The following is a 23,204-nucleotide window of genomic DNA, read 5'->3' as shown; positions in this document are numbered from 1 at the left end:
ACCCTCAGCAGAGACAGACCCCAGATCTGGGCCCAGGACTTTGTGCAGGGAGGGGAAATGCAGGTGACCAGCCCCTATTCCTCCATCAAACCAGGCTTGAAGATGGGTTAAATCAGAGCTTTTCATTCCACAAAAGAGAAATTTTAATGGGGTCAGAACATTGATCTTCTAATATTTGAAAGCCTGTTAACTAGGAGAGAGAGAGCAAACGATTTTGTTGTAGGAGGACCCACCCAGCTCTGACGGTTTAAAGCGTCATGAATGCGAATTTGAACTCCAGAAAAGCAGAGCTTCCTAACAATGGGACTTCCACAGCAATGGGATCTGCTTCCTCTTTCAGTGTGTGCCTTTTCTATGAGCGAGAGACTCCTAGGAAAGCAGCAGCCCATTAGGAAAACGTGTGGGAACTCACTCGCAGGTTATTTTTTTTGAGATGGAGTTTTGCTCTTGTTGCCCAGGCTGGAGCACAATGGTGCGATCTTGGCTCCCTGCAACCTGCGCACCATGAGTTCAAGTGATTCTCCAGCGCCCTCTCCTGAGTAGCTGCGATTACAGGCATCCACCACCATGCCTGGCTAATTTTTTGTATTTTTAGTAGAGATGGGGTTTCACCATGTTGTCCAGGCTGGTCTCAAACTCCTGACCTCAAGTGATCCACCCACTGTGGCCTCCCAAAGTGCTGGGATTACAGGCATGAGCCACTGAGCCCAGCCGGGAACCCACAGGTTTTTTGGATGGTCTCTGAATGTCATGTAACTCTTTTATTTTTTATCAAAAAAAAATTTTTTGACACAATATCTTGCTGTGTTGCCCAGACTGGAGTGCAGTGGCAAGATCATGGCTCACTGCAGCTTCTAACTCCTGGGCTCAAGTGATCTTCCTGTCACATGAGTCTCCCAAGTAGTTGGAACACAGGTGCCAGCCACCACACCTGGCTAATTTGGTTTGGTTTGGTTTTTTTAGAGATGGGCTCTTGCTATGTTGCCTATACTGGTCTTGAACTGCTGGCCTCAGGCAATCTTCCTCCCTTGGCCACCCAAAGTGCTGGGATTACAAGCAGGAGCCACTGTGCACAGCTGAAATTTTTCGACTTAGTCTTTTTGTACATGTGATATTTTATTCATAGAATCCATAAATGGAAGGGAAATTTCTGAGTTCAGAGCAATACATATGATACAAAACTTGATATATAGACTAGAGTTTCTTAGCCAAACTGGAGGGGCTGGCTTAGGTAATCCATGGATTCCCTGAAATTGGGGACACCATTGGAAATATGTGTGAGCTCAGGGGCAGTTTCCTATGATCTTTAGGCCTCAAAATGTCTCTTGGACTCAAAATTGCCTTAGGGCAGAGGACGTGTGTACCCCCAGTATAGAATCTCGGACAGTGAATGTGAGTAAACATTCGGCAGAAAAGCTCTGCCAAACTGAGTGCTCTGATGTGACTTTTTCATCAAGTCAGTATTCCTGGGATCTCTTGTACATGATAATCTCACTCTTGTACGTGATAATCTCACTCTTGTACGTGATAATCTCACTCTTGTACATGATAATCTCACTCTTATAAGGTTTCATCATTTCTGCTTACCCTAGTTTTCTTTCCCACTCTGTTCCCTCTCCCACCAGACTGGACTCTGAAATGGGCATGTACAGAGATGAAGAGACCCCAACATGCTTCAGGCTTTGAGTGGAGAGGACACAGCCTCTGCTGGGACAGGGAACACAGGGATGTGGAGTCCCTGAAGATGCTTTTGGACAATGGTCTGAGGTTGGGACAGTGGCAGGAGATACCATTCACCCAGGATCTCCAGGACAAGAGATCAGCCTGGCAGTTACATGTGTTTTTTTTCAAACTGGTTGCCAGGTTGGCATGAACGATGACATCAGAGATTCCGACCTTCCTGATTGGAGGGACCGGACTCCGTGGTGCCTGGAGATCAGTTGGACAACAGTATCTTCTCAGAGCTGTTCTCCACTCCTGACTTCTCCTAGGCTTGAGAATTGATAACATACTCTTCTGGATCCTAGCAGTGTCCAGAAGAAGGCCATGGACAGAACGAAGACTAGGTTCCGTAAGAGGGGACAGATTACGGGAAAGATCACGACCAGCCGTCAACCGCACCCCCAGAATGAGCAGAGTCTCCAGCGGAGCACCTCGGGGTACCCCCTCCAGGAGGTGGTGGATGATGAAGTGTTGGGACCATCAGGTGAGGGGACTGGTGGAAGAAGAGGTGGGATAGGGTTGACTAAGACGAAGGAAGGGGGCCGGGTGCGGTGGCTCACGCCTGTAACCCCAGCACTTTGGGAGGCCGAGGCGGGCGAATCACCTGAGGTCAGGAGTTCAAGGCCAGCCTGGCCAATATGGTGAAACCCCATCTCTACTAAAAGTATAAAAAGTAGTCAAGTGGTAGTGGTGCACACCTGTAATCCCAGCTACTCAGGAGGCTGAGACAGGAGAATCACTTGAGACTGGGAGGAAGAGGTTGCAGTGAGCTGAGATCACGCTACTGCACTCCAAAAAAAAAAAAAAAGAAAAGAAAAAAGAAAAGAAGGGTCAGCGGTCAGGAAGGAGAACCTGAGGAGGGTGTGTGGGAAGAATGGAGAAATTCAGGCTGGGTGCAGTGGCTCACACCTGTAATCCCAGAACTTTGGGAGGCCAAGACAGGCAGATCACTTGAGGCCAGGAGTTTGAGACCAGCCTGGCCAACATGGTGAAACCCTGTCTCTACTAAAAGTACAAAATTGAGCTGGGCATTATGGCAGGCACCTGTAATCCCAGCTACCTGAGAGGCTGAGGCAGAAGAATAAATGGAATCCAGGAGATGGATGTGGCAGTGAGCTGAGATTGCACCACTACACTCCAGCCTGGGTGACAAACCAAGATTCTGTGTCAAAACAAAACAAAACAAAAAAGGAGGGACTCAGAGAGCCAGAGACCAGGGAAGGACATGAAGCAGTGTTCGGAGGACAGAGAGAGAGAAGAATGGGGAGGGGAAGGAGCGGCACATGGGGTTGAGCAGAGGAGAAAATCAGAAAGATGGCTTAGAGAAGCCAGCAGTCTGCGAGTCTGGGGAGGATGGAGAGTGGTTTGGGGTTTTGGGTCGGGGTCTAAGGTGATCAGATGCAGAAGCATTACACAGTGGCCTGGTTTCTTTACTCAGCCCCTGGGGTAGATCCCAGCCCCCCATGTAGGTCCCTTGGCTGGAAAAGGAAGAAGGAGTGGTCAGATGAATCTGAGGAGGAGCCGGAGAAGGAGCTCGCCCCTGAGCCTGAGGAGACCTGGGTAGTGGAGATGCTGTGTGGGCTCAAGATGAAGCTGAAGCAACAGCGAGTGTCACCCATCCTCCCTGAGCACCACAAGGACTTCAACAGTCAGCTTGGTAGGAGGACACCCCAGAGAGCACCTCCAATCCTGTTCTTTCTAAAAAGAGGAAACTTCCAATAACCACACTTTTACAATGGGAAAGATACGCCCCCAGTGGGTGAGCTCTCCACGCAGGAGGACTCAGAAGTGATCACTCATGAGGGACACTTAGGAGATGATAGAGGACTAGGCTAGACTTGATAAAGGTTGGCGCTTGGGATGAGAAAGCTTGGTTTCGGGCTAGGTGCAGTGGCTCACGCCTGAGATCCTAGCACGCTGGGAGGCTGAGGCAAGAGGATTGCTTGAACTCAGGACTTTGAGGCTGCAGTGAGCTATGACTGCACCACTGCACTCCAGCCTGGGTGACAGAGCAAAACCCTGTGTCAAAAGAAAAACGAAGGCCGGGTGTGGTAGCTCATGCCTGTAATCCCATTACTTTGGGAGGCTGAGATGGGTGGATCACTTGAGGTCAGTTGTTCGAGACCAACCAGACCAATATAGCGAAACCTCATTTATACTAACAATACAAAAATTAGCCAGGCATGCCTGTTATCCCAGCTACTCGGGAGGCTGAGACAGGATAATCGCTTGAACCCAGGTGGAAGAGGTTGCTTTGAGCCAAGATAGCGCCACTGCATTCCATTCTGGGTGAGAGAGTGAGACGCTGTCTCAAAAAAAAAAAAAAAAAAAAAAAGAAGGAAGGAAGGGCCCAGAAGTCAGGAAGGAGCACGTGAGGAGGGTGTGTGGGAAGAATGGAGGTACTGAGGCAGGGTGCAGTGGCTCACACCTGTAATCCCAGCACTTTGGGAGGCCAGGCAGGCAGATCACTTGAGGCCAGGAGTTGGAGACCAGCCTGGCCAACATGGTGAAACCCTGTCTCTTCTAGAAGCACAAAAATGAGCTGGGTGTTCTGGTGGGCACCTGTAATCCCAGCTACTTGGGAGGCTTAGGCAGGAGAATCACTGGAACCCAGGAGGCGGAGGTTCCAGTGAGCCAAGATCGCACCACTACACTCCAGCCTAGGCCACAAAGCAAGACTGTTTCTCAACAACAACAACAAAAAAAAAAAAAAAAAAAAAGAGACTCAGAGAGCCAGGGACCAGGGAAGGATATGAGGAAGTGTTCTGAGGACAGAGAAACGGGAGAATGGGGAGGAGAAGGAGCGGCACATGGAGCTCAGCAGAGGAGACAGACAGAAGGAAAGATGGCTTGGAGAAGCCAGCAGTCTGCGAGGCTGAGGAGGATGGAGAGTGGTTTGGGGTTTTGGGTCGGGCTCTAGTGTGATCAACTGCAGAAGCATTACACCGTGGCCTGGTTTCTTTACTCAGCCCCTGGGGTAGATCCCAGCCCCCCGCATAGGTCCTTTTGCTGGAAAAGGAAGAGGGAGTGGTGGGACGAATCTGAGGAGTCGTTGGAGGAGGAGCCACGGAAGGTGCTCGCCCCTGAGCCTGAGGAGATCTGGGTGGCGGAGATGCTGTGTGGCCTCAAGATGAAGCTGAAGCGACGGCGAGTGTCGCTCGTGCTCCCTGAGCACCACGAGGCCTTCAACAGGCTGCTTGGTAGGAGGACACCCCAGAGAGCACCTCCAATCCTGTTCTTTCCAAAAACAGGAAACTTCCAATAACCACACTTTTCCAATGGGAAAAATATGCCCCAGTGGGTGAGCTCTCCATGTGGGAGGAATGTGAAGTGATCACTCATGAGGGACACTTAGGAGATGATAAAGGATTAGGTCAACTTGATAAAGGTCAGCGCTTGGGATAAGAAAGCTTGGTTTTGGGCCAGATGCAGTGGCTCCCGCCTGAGATCCCAGCACGTTGGGAGGCTGAGGCAAGAGGATTGCTTGAACTCAGGACTTTGAGGCTGCAGTGAGCTATGACTACACCACTGCACTCCAGCCTGGGTGACAGAGCAAAACCCTGTCTCAAAAGAAAAACCAAGGCTGGGCACAGTAGCTCATGCATGTAATCCCAGCTACTCGGGAGGCTGAGACAGGAGAATCGCTTAAACCCAGGAGGCAGAGGTTGCAGCGAGCCAAGATCAGGCCACTGCATTCCAGCCTGGCCCACAGAGCAAGACTCTGTCTCAAAATAAATTAATAAATAAATAAAAATAAAAATCAAGAAAAACAAAATCAATAAACAAAGAAAGTGGTTTCAGCTGTGCCCTCTGAAACTTAAAGTCTCTTACTGACTTTTCTAAACCTAAGTGTCTCCATCCATAGTGGGGGATCCCAAGGCCATGGTCACACCCTGATGTGACTGTCTCATGAGGAAATGATGGGAATTCCTTTATGACTCTGCAGTGGTCCCTCCGTGTCTGCTGGAGGGGGTCCTGGCTGATTCCCAGCTCTACATCCTGTAGATTCTCACACCCAGGGCCTCCTTCGGCCTCTTCTCAGGGGAGTCTCAGAGCAGGAGCCTCTCTCCCTTGCCCAGTGAAAGTCATTCTCCCCTCTCCCATCCACCTCACCCGCAGCCACAATCCTGAGACTTCCCCCCGGGAGGCACACTTCTCCTCGCTGCCCTGCTGCTCCCACGGAAACCCTGTCCTGCTTCTCACACTGACATCTGCTCTCTAATCACAGAGGATCCTGTCATTAAAAGATTCCTGGCCTGGGACAAAGATCTGAGGGTGTCGGACAAGGTAAGGTTGTTCTCCATGTAACTGTTCCTGTTCCAACGCATGGCTGGGGGGAGGGCGCAGCTTCCAAACCCACAGTTCTCCCTCCACCACCTCCCACCAGATGCTCCTACAGTCTTTTTTTTTTTTTTTTTTTTTTTTGTGAGACAGAGTCTTGCTCTGTTGCCCAGGCTGGAGGGCAGTGTCTCGATCTTGACTCACTGCAGCCGATGCCTCCCGGGTTCAAGCGATTCTCCTGCCTCAGCCTCCAAGCAGCTGGGATTACAGACATGAACCACCACGCCTGGCTAATTTTTGTGTTTTTAGTAGAAACGGGGTTTTGCCATGTTGGCCAGGTTGGTCCTGAACACCTGACCTCAGGCGATCCACCCGCCTTGGCCTCCCAAAGTGCTGAGATTATAGACGTCAGCCACTGTGCCCGACCAGCTCCCACGGTCTTGAGTCTTGGCACCCACACATTTTTTTTTTGTGAGACAGAGTCTAGCTCTGCTCCCCAGGATGGAGTGCAGTGGCATGATCATAGCTCATTGCAGCCTCTAATTCCTGGGCTCAAGCAATCTTCTTTCCTCAGCCTCCTGAGGAGCTGGGACTAGGCACATGCCACCATGCTCAACTAATTTTTGAAATGTTTGTAGAAACAGGGTCTCACTATGTTGCCCAGGTTGTTCTTGAACTGTTGGGCTCACATGATCCTCCTGTCTCCACCTCTCAAAAAGTACTGGGATCACAGGCTTGAGCCACCACTCCCGGCTATTCTTGGTCTTTTTATGATTTGTCAGCATCTCCCTCAGGATTCTGCTGGTCTCTTGCAGAGTGAATGAGTGGCCCCTGCCTCTCCTATGGGTCCTTTGGGATCTGAGCCCTGGGCCACAGTCTGGCTGCAGCCCTGAAGCTCCTGGCCCCTCTACTCTCAGCTCCTTGGGACAGTTCTCTGCCTGGCACACAAAAGACCCTCCTGACACCAGCCGACCTAGACACACCCCCTCCAAAGATCCCATCGGAGCCCACCATCCTGGGAGCATCACCCAAAACCCTTCCTCTGGCTTCTCAGATTTGCATCCGACCTTCGAATACCCCTCCATCCCGCAATTTCCAAATGAGTACAGTCACCCCAACACTGAGGTCCCTTCTCTGATGGGCAGCCCCTCCCCAGACCCTCATTCCCCCTCTCCACAATCTTCCTCTTCCAAGATGTGACCTCTCCCTCTCTGTGTTCCTTTCTCTCCATCAGTATCTCCTGGCTATGGTCATAGCGTATTTCAGCCGGGCCGGCCTCCCCTCCTGGCAATACCAACGCATTCATTTCTTCCTGGCTCTGTGAGTGGTTTGCTTCCTCCTATCCGTCAATATCCAATGCCCTGGGACAGCGGGGGAAGTGGGATTCCAGCCTTTCATTTATTCTTTCACCTATTTGTCCTCTTTACTCTGTGTACAAAAAAGAGAGGATTATACTATCATAGACTGTTGTTTCTAAACAGAAACTCAGGCTGGGCACAGTGGCATACGCCTGTAATCCCAGCACTTTGGGAGGCCGAGGCAGGCAGATCACCTGAGGTCAGCAGTTCGAGACCAGCCTGGCCAACATGGCCAAACCCCGTCTCTACTAAAAATAGAAAAATTAGCTGGGCGTGGTGGTGTGCATCTGTAATCCCAGCTACTTGGGAGGCTGAGGCAAGAGAACCCTTTGAACCCAGGAGGTGGAGGTTGCAGTAAGTTAAGGTCGAGCCACTGCACTCCAGCCTGGGTGACAGAGTGAGACTTTTTCTCAAAAAAAAAAAAAAAAGCCAAAAAAACAAACTCCAATGCCAGTGTACAAATAAAAGAATAAAACAAAAGGAACCATAAACCGCTCCTAAGGGGAAAAGAAAAGGAGTGGAGGAGCGGACATGCCGCTTCCTCCAGCAAGCAGACGTTTCTGGTTCTTCTCTCTCTCTCTCCTTCCCACATCAACCACAAACGCCATCGACCTCCTCTGGGTTCCCATGACAGAGGCCACAGTTCAGGTCCCCCTCGCATCACTCGAATCCACTGTCAAATGCTCCCTGCTGGGGTCTCCTGGAGTCTCTCCCCAAGCCAGGGGGCTTCCTAGTGCAGCCTGAACATCTTTCCAAAGCACGACAACCTCACTGCCCACCTGAACAACTTCCTTAGCTGATGCCTTTCTCTATCGAGGCCAGGGTCCACAGTGTCAATTCTACAATCTCTACAAGCACACTGGCTCGCCATCTTGGTATTTCCTGGCTCGGCTTCACTGCTTCTTCCAAATGCCCTCCACTCGACTTTGTGTTTGTGTTTTCTGTCTGGGTGTCCCGCACACATGTGGCTCTGAAGGGAAGGACCCATTCCTTGAAGTCAGTTCACCCCACAGCCTCTGTGATGCCTTCCCTCATCTTCCAACTTCTGCATGCCCGTAGCTCTCTAGTTACATCCTGGACACTGGGATTAGCTCATCTGCCTTGGTTACTGCCAGTCCCATTAGACTAGATGCCTGTAGAAGGCAGGGTCCTGGCAAAATATCAATGTATTCAATTTCTTTTATTTTTTTGAGACAGACTTGCCCTGTCCCCCAAGCTGGAGTGCAGTGGTGAGATCATAGCTCACTGCAGCCTCCATATCCTGGGCTCAAGCGATCCTCCCACCTCAGCTTCTTTATTAGCTCCGACTACAGGGCTGTGCCACCACACCTGGACAGTTTGTTTGTTTGTTTGATTATTGAGATAGAGTCTTGCTCTGCCTCTCAGGCTGGAATGGAGTGGCCCAATCTCGACTCACTGCAACCTCCGCCTCCTGGGTTCACACAATTCTTATGCTTCAGCCTCCTGAGTAGCTAGGCCTAACGGGTGTGCCACCGCACCAGGCTGATTTTTGTATTTTTAGTAGAGATGGGGTTTCTCCGTGTTGACCAGGCTGGTCTCCAACTCCTGGTCTCAAGCGATCCACCTGCTTCAGCATTCTAAAGTGCTGGGATTACAGGCATGAGCCACCGCGTCTGGCATATTTCTTATATTTTTAATAGAGACGAGGGTCTTGCTATGTTGCCCAGGCCCGTCTCAAACTCCTGGCCTCAAGTGATCCTCCTGCTTTGGCCTCCCAGTGTGCTGGGATTCCAGGCATAAGCCACCACTCTCGGCCACCAGTTGGGCTTTTGTCTCCATCCTGAAGGAGTGGGAGACGCCCTTGATCAGGTCTCTGTCCAGCAGAGCCCTCCTGAGGAAGGCGTGGCTCTCTGCAGGGTGGGTGCCAGTCCTGAGCTAGGGACAGTCCCTTACCTTCCTCTCTGGGAAGCTGACCTCAGCCGGAGGCCTCTCCTGGTGGTGCCCCTGAGCACCAACCTGATTTCTGTCCTCAGCTACCTGGCCAATGACATGGAGGAGGACGACGAGGACCCCAAACAAAACATCTTCTACTTCCTGTATGGGAAGACCCGCTCTCGCATACCCTTGGTCCGTAACCGTCGGTTCCAGTTATGCCGTTGCTTGAACCCGAGGGCCAGGAAGAACCGCTCTCAGATAGCCCTGTTCCAGAAACTTCGGTTCCAGTTCTTCTGTTCCATGAGCGGCAGGGCTTGGGTTTCCCGGGAGGAGTTGGAGGAGGTGAGTGGGGCCTGGGGAGGTGGAGGAGGTGGGGAGGAATCGGGTGGGCTGGAGGCTGGATGAGGGGAGAGAGGGGTATCCTGGCGAGTCCCCGTCTTCTCAAAGGGCGTTTGTTTTTCCAGATCCAGGCTTATGACCCAGAGCACTGGGTGTGGGCGCGAGATCGCGCTCGCCTTTCCTAGAGCTCCAGGGACCGTGGAGGCCTGAGGTCATCGGCCTGAGAGAAGGTACATCTGCATCCTCCGGGGTAAAGGCAGAATATTGGGGTCTATTTTGGAAATCCGAGGAACCCAATTGCTTGATCCGGCTTCAAGCCTGGGCAACGTGGCGAGATCCCCTCTCCACAAAAATACAAAAATTAGCCAGGCGATGTGGGACGCATCTCTACTCCCAACTACTCAGGAGGCTGAGGCGGGAGGATCGCTGGAGCCTGGAAGGTCAGGGCTGCACGGAGCCCTGATCCTGCCACTGCACTCCAGTCTGGGCGACAGAGTGAGACCCTGCCTCAAAAATAATCATAAATACTGAGTTTGGGGAGGTTCATTATGATTGACGCACTTGAGTTACCGATTTGGGTCGAGGGTTCAGTGAAGCTTTGGTTTACATCTTGTGCAGCTAACCACGGTGAGCACAGAGCATGAGACTTCATCATGAGGAGGTAGGATTAAGGATTAGGCTTCTGGACTCGTGGTTCGTGATGTTGTCACATTAGAAACACATCTAGCATGGTTACAAGTTTAGATCTTAAGTGACACAAAAGGCCCCAGCTATGATGAAGTCCAAAGCCACATTCTCTGAGGGTGCCCTACTCCCTGGGCAGACCCACCCAAAGTCCTTGCTATGAAGCAGATCACTGGGGCTGACCTTGGGTGTATTAAGTGAGTTTTGGAGTTGTGGTCACCAAAGTGTGAGTTTCACAGTTGAACACGATGGTTCAGAAGCAGGGTATAGAATGAAAGGCAGCAGATAAAATTGCATTTCTCAATTGCTCTGAACTCTAGACTTGACATGGGACGTGAATAACCTTCCTGTCTAGAGAGCTGCCTCCTTCAAGTGTGACATTGTCTCTCTCACTTCCAGAACACCGGACCCAGGGGAGATGTGGATTTTCAGCAGGAACTTTATTCCAATGCTAATGGCAGACAACAGGAAAGAGGAGAGGAACCATTTGTGCAGATCATCTAGAAGAACCTGGACCATTCTTGATGGAGCTGAATACAGTGATCACGTTGTCCTCCTGGGAGCAGGGGTGGGGGGAGGGGGGTGGGGTCCTTCTAGGAGTCCTTGGAGAAAAGTAAGAAAACAGGAGTGTTTCCAGTTCCACCCTTTCCTGCGGCACCACCACCCTTTCTATATTGCTGAATTCCAACCTCCCTGGGCCGGAACCTGGAGGTCCTGTTTCTTACAGACTTGGTTGCCACAGTCCAGGAGCATTTGAAGGCACAATGCAGGGGCTCAGATTGGCACAGAATTCTTTTGTGAAATATCAGTGCCACAGATTGTAACAGATAGCTTCATGCACACTCTGCATTTTATTGGTTTGTTTGGAAATGTTGGCCATTGAATTATTCATAGATTTATTTCAAATAGTTTGGAAATTGTTGTACTTTTGAAAACATGCTGTTCCTGTAGTTTTTTGATGAGAGTTATAGTTGTTATATATACATAAAGATAATTTTCTTTTCATTTTTAAGAGACAATTCTTTTTATCCTAAATATTTTATTATCTTTAAATTTGTTTCTGTATTATTATATGTGCTCCTGAAGCGAGCACTCTTTTTATCTATGATACTTCCATAAAAATCTCTTCTATTTATAGCTATTGGTAGTTCCCCACCAGAAAAAAACATAATTCTGGTGATAGAAATTTTTATTTGCTGTTTAGGTTTGTGACTGAATTGTGAGAATTCAGTTGTGATTTTTAACATGTCTCAGATATATATACTAACACGTCTAATACATACTATCTAATTTATTGGTTTATTTTGAAAAACATGGGTATAGAATTATTTAAGTATTATTTTATTTATTGAAATATTTATTAAATATATTTATTTATTTAAATATTATTATTACTTTAAATATTATTTTAAATATTTTGGAAATACTGGTATTTTTGAATAGATGCTGTTTCTATAAAGCTGTGTGATGGGTGTTATAACTATTATATACACATACATATAATTTTGTTTTCCTTTTTAAGAGAGGATTCTTTTCATCCTAAATCTTTTACCTTTCAATCTTTGTATCTATTATTACACGTGCTGCTGAAGGGAGCATGGTTTTTATCTGTGATACTTAGTTAACATATATATTACATTTATAGCTATGTAGTAGTTCCCCTAAATTCTTGTAAAAATAAATTTTTATTTGATATTTCATATATGTTTGAAATGTGAGAATTCAGATGTAATTTTTTACCTTGTTTTGGCATCTTTGTATGTTACTTTAAAGAGGATGTGTGTTCTAAAGGAGGACATGAGCTGTGTGTTTTCAAGAGAACAATAGAGTGCGTCTCTTGTGGAAACATAATAAAAATGAACTTTTCTCACCTTCACAGCAACTGTGATCATATTGGTCTGGATTGATTATTTGCTGCCCAGTGATATTTTTCCTTAATGGGGTTGTGGTTATTTGAACATATTTATTAGCTCTGGAAGATAATCCTGTGCTGTTTTTTATGTAGAAAAAAAACATACGGCTGGGTGCAGTGCTCACACCTACAATCCCTGCAGTTTTGGAGGTCTTGGCAGGAGGATCACCTGAGGCCAGGAGTTTGAGGCCGGCCTCAGCAACATAGCATCTACATCTATTTTTAATTTTTATTTTTTAAAGAAAAACAATAGAAGAGAAGGCTCAAGCTACAGGGTTTTTTTGTTTGTTTGTTTTGGAGACAGTCTTGCTCTGTCTCCCAGGCTGGAGTGCAGTGGCACAACCTCGGCTCCCTGCAACTTTCACCTCTGGGTTCAAACAAATTCTCCTGCCTCAGTCTCCCAAGCAGCTGGGACTACAGGCACCCGTCTGTACGTCCGACCAACTTTTGTAAAAATAGTAGAGACAAGGTTTCACCATGTTGGCCAGGCTGGTCTCGAACTCCTGACTTCAAGTGATCCACCCACCTCGGCCTCCCAAAGTGCTGGGATTAACAGGCATGAGCTACTGCGCCCAGATGCCAAGCTAGAGTTTTAAGGCAGGAAATGAGAGAAAGATATTGAGAGAGGAAAACCAGGTGGTAAGAAAACTCTAAAGGTGGCCGGGCGTGGTGGCTCACGCCCATGATCCCAGCAGGAGTTTGAGACCAGCCTGGCCAACATGGTGAAACCCTGTCTCTACTAAAAATACAAAAATTAGGCAGACGTGGTGGTGCATGCCTATAATCCCAGCTATTTGGGAGGCTGAGGCAGGAGAATCACTAGCAGAGATTGTGTCTCCTCACGCCCTCTCAAAAAAAAAAAAAAAAAAAAAAAGAAAGTTCCTGCAGCAGTTAAAGCTGTGAAAGACAGGCACTCTGCCATGAAATTCTTTGTGATTTTTCTTTTTTCTTTTTGGAATTGGGGTCTTGCGCTGTCACCCAGACTGGGGTGCAGTGGTGTGGTCATAGCTCACTGCGGCCTCAGGCTCAAGCTCAAGCTCAAGCGATCCTCTTACCTTGCCTTTCAAATTGCTGGGATTATAAGCATGAGCCACTGCATCTGGCCTGTGTGACACAATTCTGTTTTTTGTCTTTTTTTTTTTTGGGGGGGGGATGGAGTCTCGCTCTGTCACCCAGGCTGGAGTGCGGTGGCGTGATCTTGGCTCAATGCAAGCTCCGCCTCCTGGGTTCACGCCATTCTCCTGCCTCAGCCTCCCGAGTAGCTGGGACTACAGGCGCCCGCCACCATGCCTGGCTAATTTTTTGTATTTTTAGTAGAGACGGGGTTTCACTGTGTTAGCCAGGATGGTCTCGATCTCCTGACCTCGTGATCTCTCCGCCTTGGCCTCCCAAAGTGCTAGGATTACAGGCGTGAGCCACTGCGCCCAGCCTATGTGATGCAATTCTGATGTCAACTCCCTGATGTTACCTCAAATGCCACAGGTTAAGGCCACCAGCCCCCACTAGGCTGCCCTCGCTTTAGACACACCTGCAGGCTTGGGTGTCCTCAGACCACATGTACTTCTCACCAACTGGCTGCAAATTTGGAGGTTCCCACCATGCCCTGAAGTTCGATAACTCACTAAAACAATTCACAGAATGCAGAAAAGCATGATACTTTCTTTCTCTTTTTTTTTTTTTTTTTTTTTTTTTTTGAGACGGAGTCTTGCTCTGTCGCCCAGGCTGGAGTACAGTGGCCACCATGCTTGGCTAATTTTTGTATTTGTATTAGAGACGGGATTTCGCCATGTTGGCCAGGCTGGTCTTGAACTCCTGACCTCAGGTGATCCACCCGCTTTGGCATCCCAAAATGCTGGGATTATAGGCATAGCCACCATGCCCGGTCGACTTCTAGAGTTTCAATAACAGAGATGTGATTCAAGAAGGGAGACATGTTTTGTAGATGGCAGGAGCTTCATGAAAAGAAGCCAATGAAGGGCAGGACGTGTAGCTGTCTACCTACAGGAAACCAGCCAGGAGCCTCCCCACAGGGACTTCAGCACAGACAGCTGGGAAAATCTGTATTCACCTGAGCTCTGGACCTAAGAGAGGACAAGGCCTTGACTGTTTCTACAGACTCACAAGATGCAATCTCTGCGGTCCATGCCCGTGGTGTGATCTGGGAAACAGGGGGCCTTCTAAATGCCAACAACAAGGAAATCAAATGTGCAACAGACAGAAATATCGGCATTGACACGGGCCATGGAGAGGCCTAAACAGATGACTGCAGTCCACTGCCAAGGTCATCAAAGGGGTGACTCTGAAATAAGAAATTTCAGACGCCACGGCCCAAATAGCTGCACGAGGTGGGGAAGTCCTCCACATGCCTCTGCTTCCTTCAGTACCTCTTCATGAAATAAGCCGAGGTACTTCCCTGGGGAATTTCCTTTCTCTTTCTTTCTTTCGAGACGGAGTCTTGCTCTGTCGCCCAGGCTAGAGTGCAGTGGCGCGATCTCGGCTCACTGCAACCTCTCCCTCCCGGGTTTTGGCAATTCTTCTGTCTCAGACTTCTGAGTAGCTGAGATTACAGGTGTGTGCCACCATGCCCAGCTAATATTTGTATTTTTACTCGAGACAGGGTTTCACCATCTAGGCCAGGCTGGTCTTGAACTCCTGACCTCGTGATCCACCCATCTTGGCCTCCCAAAGTCCTGGGATTACAGGCACGAGCCACCACACCCAGACTTCTTTTTTTATTTTTTGAGATGAAGTTTCGCTCTTGTTGCCCAGGCTGGAGTGCAATGGCGAGATCTCAGCTCACTGCCACCTCCTCCTCCCAGGTTCAAGTGATTATCCTGCCTCAGCCTCCCGAGTAGCTGGGATTACAGGCACCCAACACCAAACCCCGCTGACTTTTTGTATTTTTAGTAGAGATGGAATGTCACCATGTTGGCCAGGATGGTCTTGAACCCCTGACCTCTAATGATCTACCCGAATTGGTCTCCCAAAATGCTGGGATTACAGGCGTGAGCCACTGTGCCCAGCCCCTCCCATACCTCTTTTGGCCAAGGCAGTACAATTCAGAGAATCTTGCCAGGGAAGACTGGTAAATGGACATCAACATGATGCCTATGGCTCCTGGTGGATTTAGATACCTCCTGGTGCTTACTGATACCTTTACCAGTTACATGGGGGCTTTTCCATGCCAGACTGAAAATGCTGGAGATCACTGATCAACCTTCAACTATTTACTAGCAGAACACTGAGGGGACTCTGCAGTCACCAATATCTCCTATTGCACTTGGATAAACACCTCCCGGGAAATAGAGATGAATAGAAAGGAAATACTTAAACAAGCAGAATGGCTACATTCCTTCAACCAGAAGGGTCCATTAGTCTGTTTTCACACTGCTATAAAGAACTACTGGAAACTGGGGAATTTATGAAGAAAAGAGGTTTAATTGACTCACAGTTTTGCAGGCTGTACAGGAAGCATGGCTGGGGAGCCCTCAAGAAGCTGACAATCACGGCAGAAGGCGAAGGGGAAGCAGGCACGTTTCTGGCCATGGTGGAGCAGGAGAGACAGAGAGAGTGAAGCAGGAGGTGCTGCATGCTTCTAAACAACCAGATCCCATGAGCGCTCACTCACTATCACGAGACCAGCAAGGGGGACGTCAGCCGCCATGAGCCAATCATCTCCCACCAGGTCCCTCCCTCAACACTGGGAATTGCAATTTGACATGAGATTTGGTTGGGGATACAGAGCTGAACCATATCAAGGGTAGTTCAACCACTGAGATTGATTGATTGACTGAGATGGGGTCCTGCTCTGTTACCTAGGCTGGAGTGCAGTGGCACAATCTCGGCTCACTGCAACCTCCGCCTCCCAGGTTCAAGCAATTCTCCTGCCTCAGCCTCCCTAGTAGCTGGGACTACAGCACACGCCACCACACCTGGCTAATTTTTGTATTTTCAGTAGAGACGGGGTTTCACCATGTTTGCCCGGCTGGTCTTGAACTCCTGACCTCGTGATCACCCTGCCTCGGCTCTTCTTTTGCTGGAATTACAGGTGTGAGCCACCGCACCCGGACAACCACTGAGATTTAGAAGGCAGTCGAGTCCACTATACCACACCTCACCTGGTTTCTTCCTCTGTTGGGGCCCCTCGTGGCCACTGTTCCGTTACTTTTTGGTCCTATTTATTTAAATGGATGGTGAGCTGTTTGTCCTCCAGGATCCAACACTTCCACCTTCAGCTTGTATTACAACAATACCAGCCTTTCAAGCTACTCCGGGTGACCCCAGAACTCATCTGAACTCAGAAGCCCAAGAGTTTCATTCCTCTCACTTTAGGGGACTAAGTGCCCCTGGTCAGCATGAAGTCGATACAGAAGCATGACCTCCATCCCTAATCCCTCAAGAATGAGGAGTGGAAGGTGTTGGCAGGAGGGTGGGACGCGGTTTGTAAATCTGTAACTGCATCAGACCAAATCTAGTTCAACTTTTTTTTTTTTTGATGGAGTTTCACTCTTGTCACCCAGGCTGGAGTGCAATGGCACGATCTCAGCTCACTGCAACCTCCACGTCCTAGGTTCAAGCATTCTGCTGCCTCAGCCTCTGGGGTAGCTGGGATTACAAGGGTGCGCCACCACGCCTGGCTAATATTTATATTTTTAGTAGAGACGGGGTTTCACCATTTTGGCCAGGCTGGTCTTGAACTCCTCGACCTCAGGTGATCCACCTGCCTTGGCCTCCCAAAGTGCTGGGATTACAGGCGTGAGTCACCGCACCCGAATCAGTTCAACTTTTATGTAATGAAGTTGTCAGTTGTTTTCCAATTGCCATCGACCTGCAGGTTGAAGGTCATGTACCCTGTGCATGCCCAGGTTAACCACGCGTGCCACCGTGGAGTGGAACCTAAGAGCTCAGCCTGAAGAGCTCGGACCGATTTAAGAACCAGACACCCCCAGGCAGGAGCCAGGATCCAATCAGATTGAGTTTTGGTGTCACCCCATGGCAGGATCCAGTCAGATCACACCTCCCAGCATTACTTTATTGCAAGATCCAATCAAATCACACCTCATTACCCTATGCTTATAAAACCTGACATAGCCCCCAGCTGTGTAAGGGAGATTTGAGTACTTCCTCCTGTGTTCTTGCTGGCTGACTTACAAAAAAGCTTTAAAAAAAAAAGCCAGGCGTGGTGGCTCACGCCTGTAACCCCAGCACTTTGGGAGGCTGAGGTGGGCAGATCACTTGAGGTCAGGGGTGCAAGACCAGCCTGGCCAACATGGTGAAACCCCATCTCTACTAAAAATACAAAAATTAGCTGGGTGTGGTGACACACACCTATAATCCCAGCTACTTGGGAGGCTGAGGTAGGAGAATCACTTGAACCCAGGAGGCGGAGGTTGCAGTGAGCCAAGATCACACCACTGCACTCCAGCCTGGGCGACAGAGTGAGAAGACTCCGTCTAAAAAAAAAAGTTAAAATTAGCACCAAACGCTTTACAAGTAAAAAAAGTTTTTAGCTGCATATGTTTAAGTAACTTTTTAGATTATAAGAAATACGCATGCAAAATGGAAAGGCACAAAGAAGAGAGCAAAAAGTGCATGAGATCTCACATCCAAGGATAACCGCTGAGAACATGGAAGTGCTGACTCTTCAGTCTTTATACTATACACATTTAGGCCTGTTTTGTTTTTATAAAACTGTAATCATATAATACAGACAGTTTTATAATCTGCTTTTTAAACACGACAATTATATAACATTTAGCTGTTTCATTTGCATTCAAATTCATAAGGGTGCCAGTAACTCATTTATCAGAAAACCAAGAGAAATATTCTCATAAAAATATAAGTACATAAGGTCAGGCATGGTGGCTCACGCCTGTAATCCCAGCACTTTGAGAGGCCGAGGTGGGCGGATCACCTGAGGGCAGGAATTCGAGACCAGCCTGGCCAGCCTGGACAACATGGTGGAACCCCGTCTCCACTGAAAATACAAAAATTAGCCGGGCGTGGTGGCGCGCGCCTGTAATGGTAGCTACTCAGAAGGCTGAAGCAGGAGAATCGCTTGAACTTGGCAGGTGGAGGTTGCAGTGAACTGAGATCGCGCCACTGCACTGCAGCCAGGGCGCCAAAGTGAGACTCCATCTCAAAAAAAGATAAAAATAAAAAATAAAAAAAATGTATATATATGTATATATATTTTTCCAGACAGGGTCTTACTCTGTCTCACAGTCTGAAGTGTGGTGACGCAATCATAGCTCACTGCAGTCTCAAGTTCCTGGGCTCAGGTGATCCTCCCACTTCAGCCTCCCAAGTAGCTGGAACTACAGGTGCATGCCACCATGCCCAGTCAATTTTTTTTTTAATTTTTCATAGAGACAGAGTCTCACTATGTTTCCCAGTCCTAATAAACATTATGTGATAAAAAGAAAAAAGTAAATCATCCTGAAGTTAAGTCTTTAATGAGAAATGCAAATAAAGCATTTCTCAATAAATTATGGGAAGAGAATCAACTGAAGAATAAACATCTTTAGTAAATCTTTTGCTCGTGTGCATTAACCAATACTCTTGAAAACCAGGATTAATTTACTGTACCTTCTTAATATTCCTTTGAAATTCCTTATGGCGCACAGGTAGCGTAGAAAATAACTGCTTCACGCTGACTGTGGTCCCTCTGGGGTGGGGGTAGGGGGTTTTCTGGATGATTTTCCCATCGTGATCAAACACCAGTCGAGTCCCAACCTTCGCCGATACGTGGCAGGTAGAAATGGTGACATCACTGTGAGAGAATACCAGGCATGGTGTGTTCAGTGAGAGATCCGTGATGTTGGGCACTGACTACTCTTTTCTTCACTTGCTTTTCTCTCAAAATTTTCTTAAAAAGCTGATGATCCCTCTGAGATAACCGAGATCTAAACGGTTGAGGAGTCATCACAAAATCTAAGGTCTGGCATCTAAAAGACAGTGAGACAGAGAGCACTAAACATGCTTTGTTTTGATAAAAGCTCTGACTTCATTTTTCAGGTTGAATTGCAAAACCATAAATGATCTCAAGATTTATTGATTCTCAAATAGAGATTTGTTTTGTTATTACTCTTCAAACAAAATTTTTTAAAAGAATTTTTTTAAAGAATTTTTTAAAATTTTTAAAAATTTTTTTAAAGAATCCAAAAGATATTATAATTAAAATGTATATGTAGGGCAGGGTGCGGTGGCTCGTGCCTGTAATTCCAGCACTTTGGGAGGCCAAGGAGGGCAGATCACTTGAGGCCTGGAGTTCCAGACCAGCCTGGGCAACATGGCAAAACCCCATCTCTACTAAAAATACAAAAATTAGCCAGGAGTGGTGGTGCACGCTATAGTCCCAGCTCTTCAGGAGGCTGAGTCACGAAAGTCACTTGAACCTGGGAGGCAGAGACTGCAGTGAGCTGAGACTGTGCCACTGCACTCCAGCCTGGGTGACAGAGTGCGACTCTGTCTAAAAAAAAAAAAATATATATATATATATATATATGTGTGTGTGTATATATATATGTATATATGTATATATATGTATATATGTATATATGTATATATATGTATACATATATGTATATATATGTATACATATATGTATATATATGTATATATATGTATATATATGTATATATGTGTGTGTGCATGTAATTATTTATAAAAATTTAGTATCTGTGCTATAATTAAATAGTGCTTTGGTGAAATGTTTCCCTAAAAATTGATAATGAAAACCAATGGTAACTATCATTTATTATCTATATGTTATGTTCAAATTGAGAAGTTACTGTTTTAATAAGGGTAACCAATTTTTTAAACAATACTATTTGCTTCATTTCATTCATTTATTGCTCACATTTCAGAAGTACTAGGACTTAGATTGGCTGTGAGACAAAACAGAATTCAGAAGCTAGAAGCTGAGATATTGAGATAGAAAATTGTAAATAATAATGATTCCAATTAATTTTCAGAGAGGTTTTTCTAAGGGGTCAAGTGAATGGATAAAAATATTTTATCACCTCAGTGCACAAAGTGAGCTCAGAGCTTTCCCCCGAAAGCCAAAAGTTTCAACCCGAGTTAGGTCGGCAAACTCTTGAATCTTAGATGTGTGATGTTTCAGAGCTGAAAGAGACTGTAAAGTAAGGACTAAGATATCTCAAGTGCTATAACAACAAATATACATGATATCTAGTAACTGGCTTTAAAAAACTGTTTTTGTGTTTCCCAAGACAGTGTTACTCAAAATTCTAAGACATGTGGCCCAATTATTTTATAATAGGATTAGAAAGTTAACTTACTTAAGCCTTCGAAGTTTTCTTCTTCTACCCCACATCCATTGCCTGAAACTTCAATGAGATCCATTCCATAGTCCTTAAGCTTTAGATCTAGAAAGTTTAAAATATTTATATATTTATTAAAAATGGACCCACGCTATCAGTTTTTATATTGATATTATTTATAACGTGCAAATTTAAGTGTCGTAACTATACCTTTAGTTAAACATACTAGTGTCATTTTGTATATTTCATTTTTATAAAGTTCTTTCTGGCCATTTACTAGCCCAGATTAAATAGTTTAGCATTTTCTTTCTTTCCTCTTTTTTTTTTTTTTTCCTTACACTAGTCAAGTGAAGCAGTTGGAGTGGAGAAGGAACAAAAAAATCTGTAACTGGTTGTGATCAATTAGTTGTAAAGACCGTTGCACTTTGACCAGCCTTTTCCTTTGAAAGAAATAATTTTAACATACCCAGTAAGGAGAACGGGGGCCGGGCGCAGTGGTTCATGCCTGTAATCCCAGCACTTTGGGAGACCAAAGCGAGCGGATCACCTGAGGTCAGTAGTTCGAGACCAGCCTGACCAACGTAGAGAAACTCTATCTCTACTAAAAATACAAAATTAGCCAGGCGTGGTGGTGCATGCCTGTAATCCCAGCTACTTGTGAGGCTGAGGCAGGAGAATCGCTTGAACCTGGGAGGTGGAGGTTGCAGTGAGTTGAGATCGTGCCATTGCACCGCAGCCTCGGCAACAAGAGCAAAACTCTATCTCAAAAAAAAAAAAAAAAGAAAAAAAAACAGAACTGGTTCTGGAATCAGACTTCCTAGATTCTATTTTATTAGCTTTATAATCTCAAAAAAAGGAAATTTACTGTCCCTTAATTTCCTCAACTGTAAAATGGAGGTAATAAGTTCTATCTCATAAAGTTATTTGGCAGATTAATAATTTTTTTTTAATTTTGTCATTTTCTTTTTTTTCTTTCCTTTTTTTTTTTTTTTTTTTAATTTTTTGAGATGGACTTTTGCTCTTGTCACCCAGGCTGGAATGCAGTGGCACAATCGATCTTGGCTCACTGCAACCTCCACCTCCCAGGTTTAAGCAATTCTCCTCCCTCAGCCTTCTGAGGAGCTGAGATTACAACCATGCACCATCACATCTGGCTAATTTTTGTATTTTTAGTAGAGACAGGGTTTTACCACATTGGTTAGGCTGGTCTTGAACTCCTGACCTCAAAGCATCAGCCCCCCTCAGCCTCCCAAAGTGCTGGGATTACAGATGTGAGCCACTACTCCAGGATTTATTTTATTTTATTTTATTTTATTTTTTTGAGACAGAGTCTTGCTCTGTCCCCAGGCTGGCGTGCAGTGGCACAATCTCGGTTCACTGCAACCTCCACCTCCCAAATTTAAACAATTCTCATTCCTGAGCCTCCCCAGTAGCTGGGATTACAGGCTTCTGCCACCAGGTCTGGCTAATTTTTGTATTTTTAGTAGAGACAGAGTTTCACCATTTTGGACAGGCTGGTCTCGAATTCCTGACCTCAGGTATCCACCCGCCTTGGCCTCCCAAAGTGCTGGGATTACAGGCGTGAGCCACCACACCCGGCCTGCTTTATTTTTTAATAGAGACGAGGTCTCCCCATGTTGGCCAGGTTGGTCTTGAACTCTTGGCTTCAAGCAATCCCCCCACCTCAGCCTCTCAAAGGGCTAGGATTACAGGCGTCAGACACCACGCCCAGCTATTCTGCAAATTAAATATTTCTGTGCAATTCTTAGCATAACACCTGCCTGGCACACCATAAGAACACAAGAAAAGCTGTCGTTATTATTATTACTACCTAGCTAAGTACTAGGCACATAATAGGTGCTAACTTTAACTTAAAAATAATAACTTATTACTACATCAACACTTGATAGTCTTATTTCAATAACAAATGTTTCTTGACTACAACAACATTCACTGATCATTTCTTGTGGCTTAAAACTCTCCCAAACTTACCAACATTAGTGGCACCAGCATCCAGACTGTTTTCTACTATCTTCTTCATCCAGTGCTTAGACTCAGTACCACCTGCCCAGAGCAAATCTGATGGACTGACTTCCGATCAATAGGTTTGATGGCCTTAGCAGGTTCTGTACTAAAGAAATCAGTTACAAGAAACAAAGCAAGTATTCAGCTATATATTTTCATCCTGATTTTAACTGTGGGAAATGACTCAACACTGCAAATAGTTTATGGGTCTAATCTATTCATTTATTATATTAACAAATACATTTATTATATCCAGAAATGGAAACATTGTTTTACAATCCTTAAACAAGTACCCAAAATACTTCTGGATAGACACTTCAAATTCAACACATCCTTACTATCTAGTATCCACATGGAGAAAACATACATTGTATCTCTCAAATTACCAAAATCTTTGGCAATAATGGTGTCTTCTTTCTTGAAAACTGAAAGCATGGCCGGTGCGGTGGCTCATGCCTGTAATCCCAGCAATTTGGGACACAGAGGCAGGCGGATCACTTGAGATCAGGAGTTTGAGACCAGCCTGGCCAACGTCGTGAAACCCTGTCTCTACCAAAAATACAAAAAATTAGCCAGGCATGGTGGTGGGCGCCTGTAATCCCAGCTACTTGGGAGGCTGAGGCAGAAGAATCACTTAAACCTGGGAGGCGGAGGTTGCAGTGAGCTGAGATTGCAGCATTGCACCCTAGGCTGGGCAATGAG

The 23,204-nt window shown here is 46.6% G+C and overlaps 1 protein-coding gene and 1 pseudogene across 3 annotated transcripts; one reads left to right on the top strand and one right to left on the bottom strand.

Annotated features, from left to right (window-relative positions):
• On the top strand, window positions 1-12,168 carry SPDYE18 (speedy/RINGO cell cycle regulator family member E18). Of its 2 annotated transcripts, NM_001394953.1 has the most exons (9): window positions 1-63; window positions 1,626-2,206; window positions 3,161-3,379; window positions 4,692-4,922; window positions 5,951-6,009; window positions 7,238-7,323; window positions 9,356-9,599; window positions 9,722-9,826; window positions 10,680-12,168. In NM_001394953.1, the coding sequence occupies exons 2-8, from the start codon at window positions 2,047-2,049 to the stop codon at window positions 9,779-9,781; spliced, it is 1,059 nt and encodes a 352-aa protein (NP_001381882.1). In that variant the 5' UTR covers window positions 1-63; window positions 1,626-2,046; the 3' UTR covers window positions 9,782-9,826; window positions 10,680-12,168. The 2 variants fall into 2 exon arrangements, with proteins under 2 accessions (NP_001381882.1, NP_001338277.1); NM_001351348.1 differs by lacking the exons at window positions 1-63; window positions 4,692-4,922; window positions 10,680-12,168 and having other exon boundaries at window positions 1,678-2,206.
• On the bottom strand, window positions 9,521-23,079 carry PMS2P9 (PMS1 homolog 2, mismatch repair system component pseudogene 9; annotated as a pseudogene). Its single transcript, NR_028058.1, has 5 exons — window positions 22,470-23,079; window positions 20,496-20,582; window positions 18,781-18,964; window positions 15,642-15,730; window positions 9,521-10,882 (listed from the first exon to the last, which is right to left on the bottom strand). The product of NR_028058.1 is annotated as a PMS1 homolog 2, mismatch repair system component pseudogene 9 (transcript).
• Between the last annotated feature and the right edge of the window lie 125 nt (window positions 23,080-23,204).

Source organism: Homo sapiens, chromosome 7 (genome assembly GCF_000001405.40).
Source record: "Homo sapiens chromosome 7, GRCh38.p14 Primary Assembly".
In the NCBI taxonomy this organism is placed as follows: domain Eukaryota; kingdom Metazoa; phylum Chordata; class Mammalia; order Primates; family Hominidae; genus Homo; species Homo sapiens.
The sequence above is the reverse complement of the archived record's forward strand: the minus strand, read 5'-3'. Positions and strand labels throughout refer to the sequence as shown.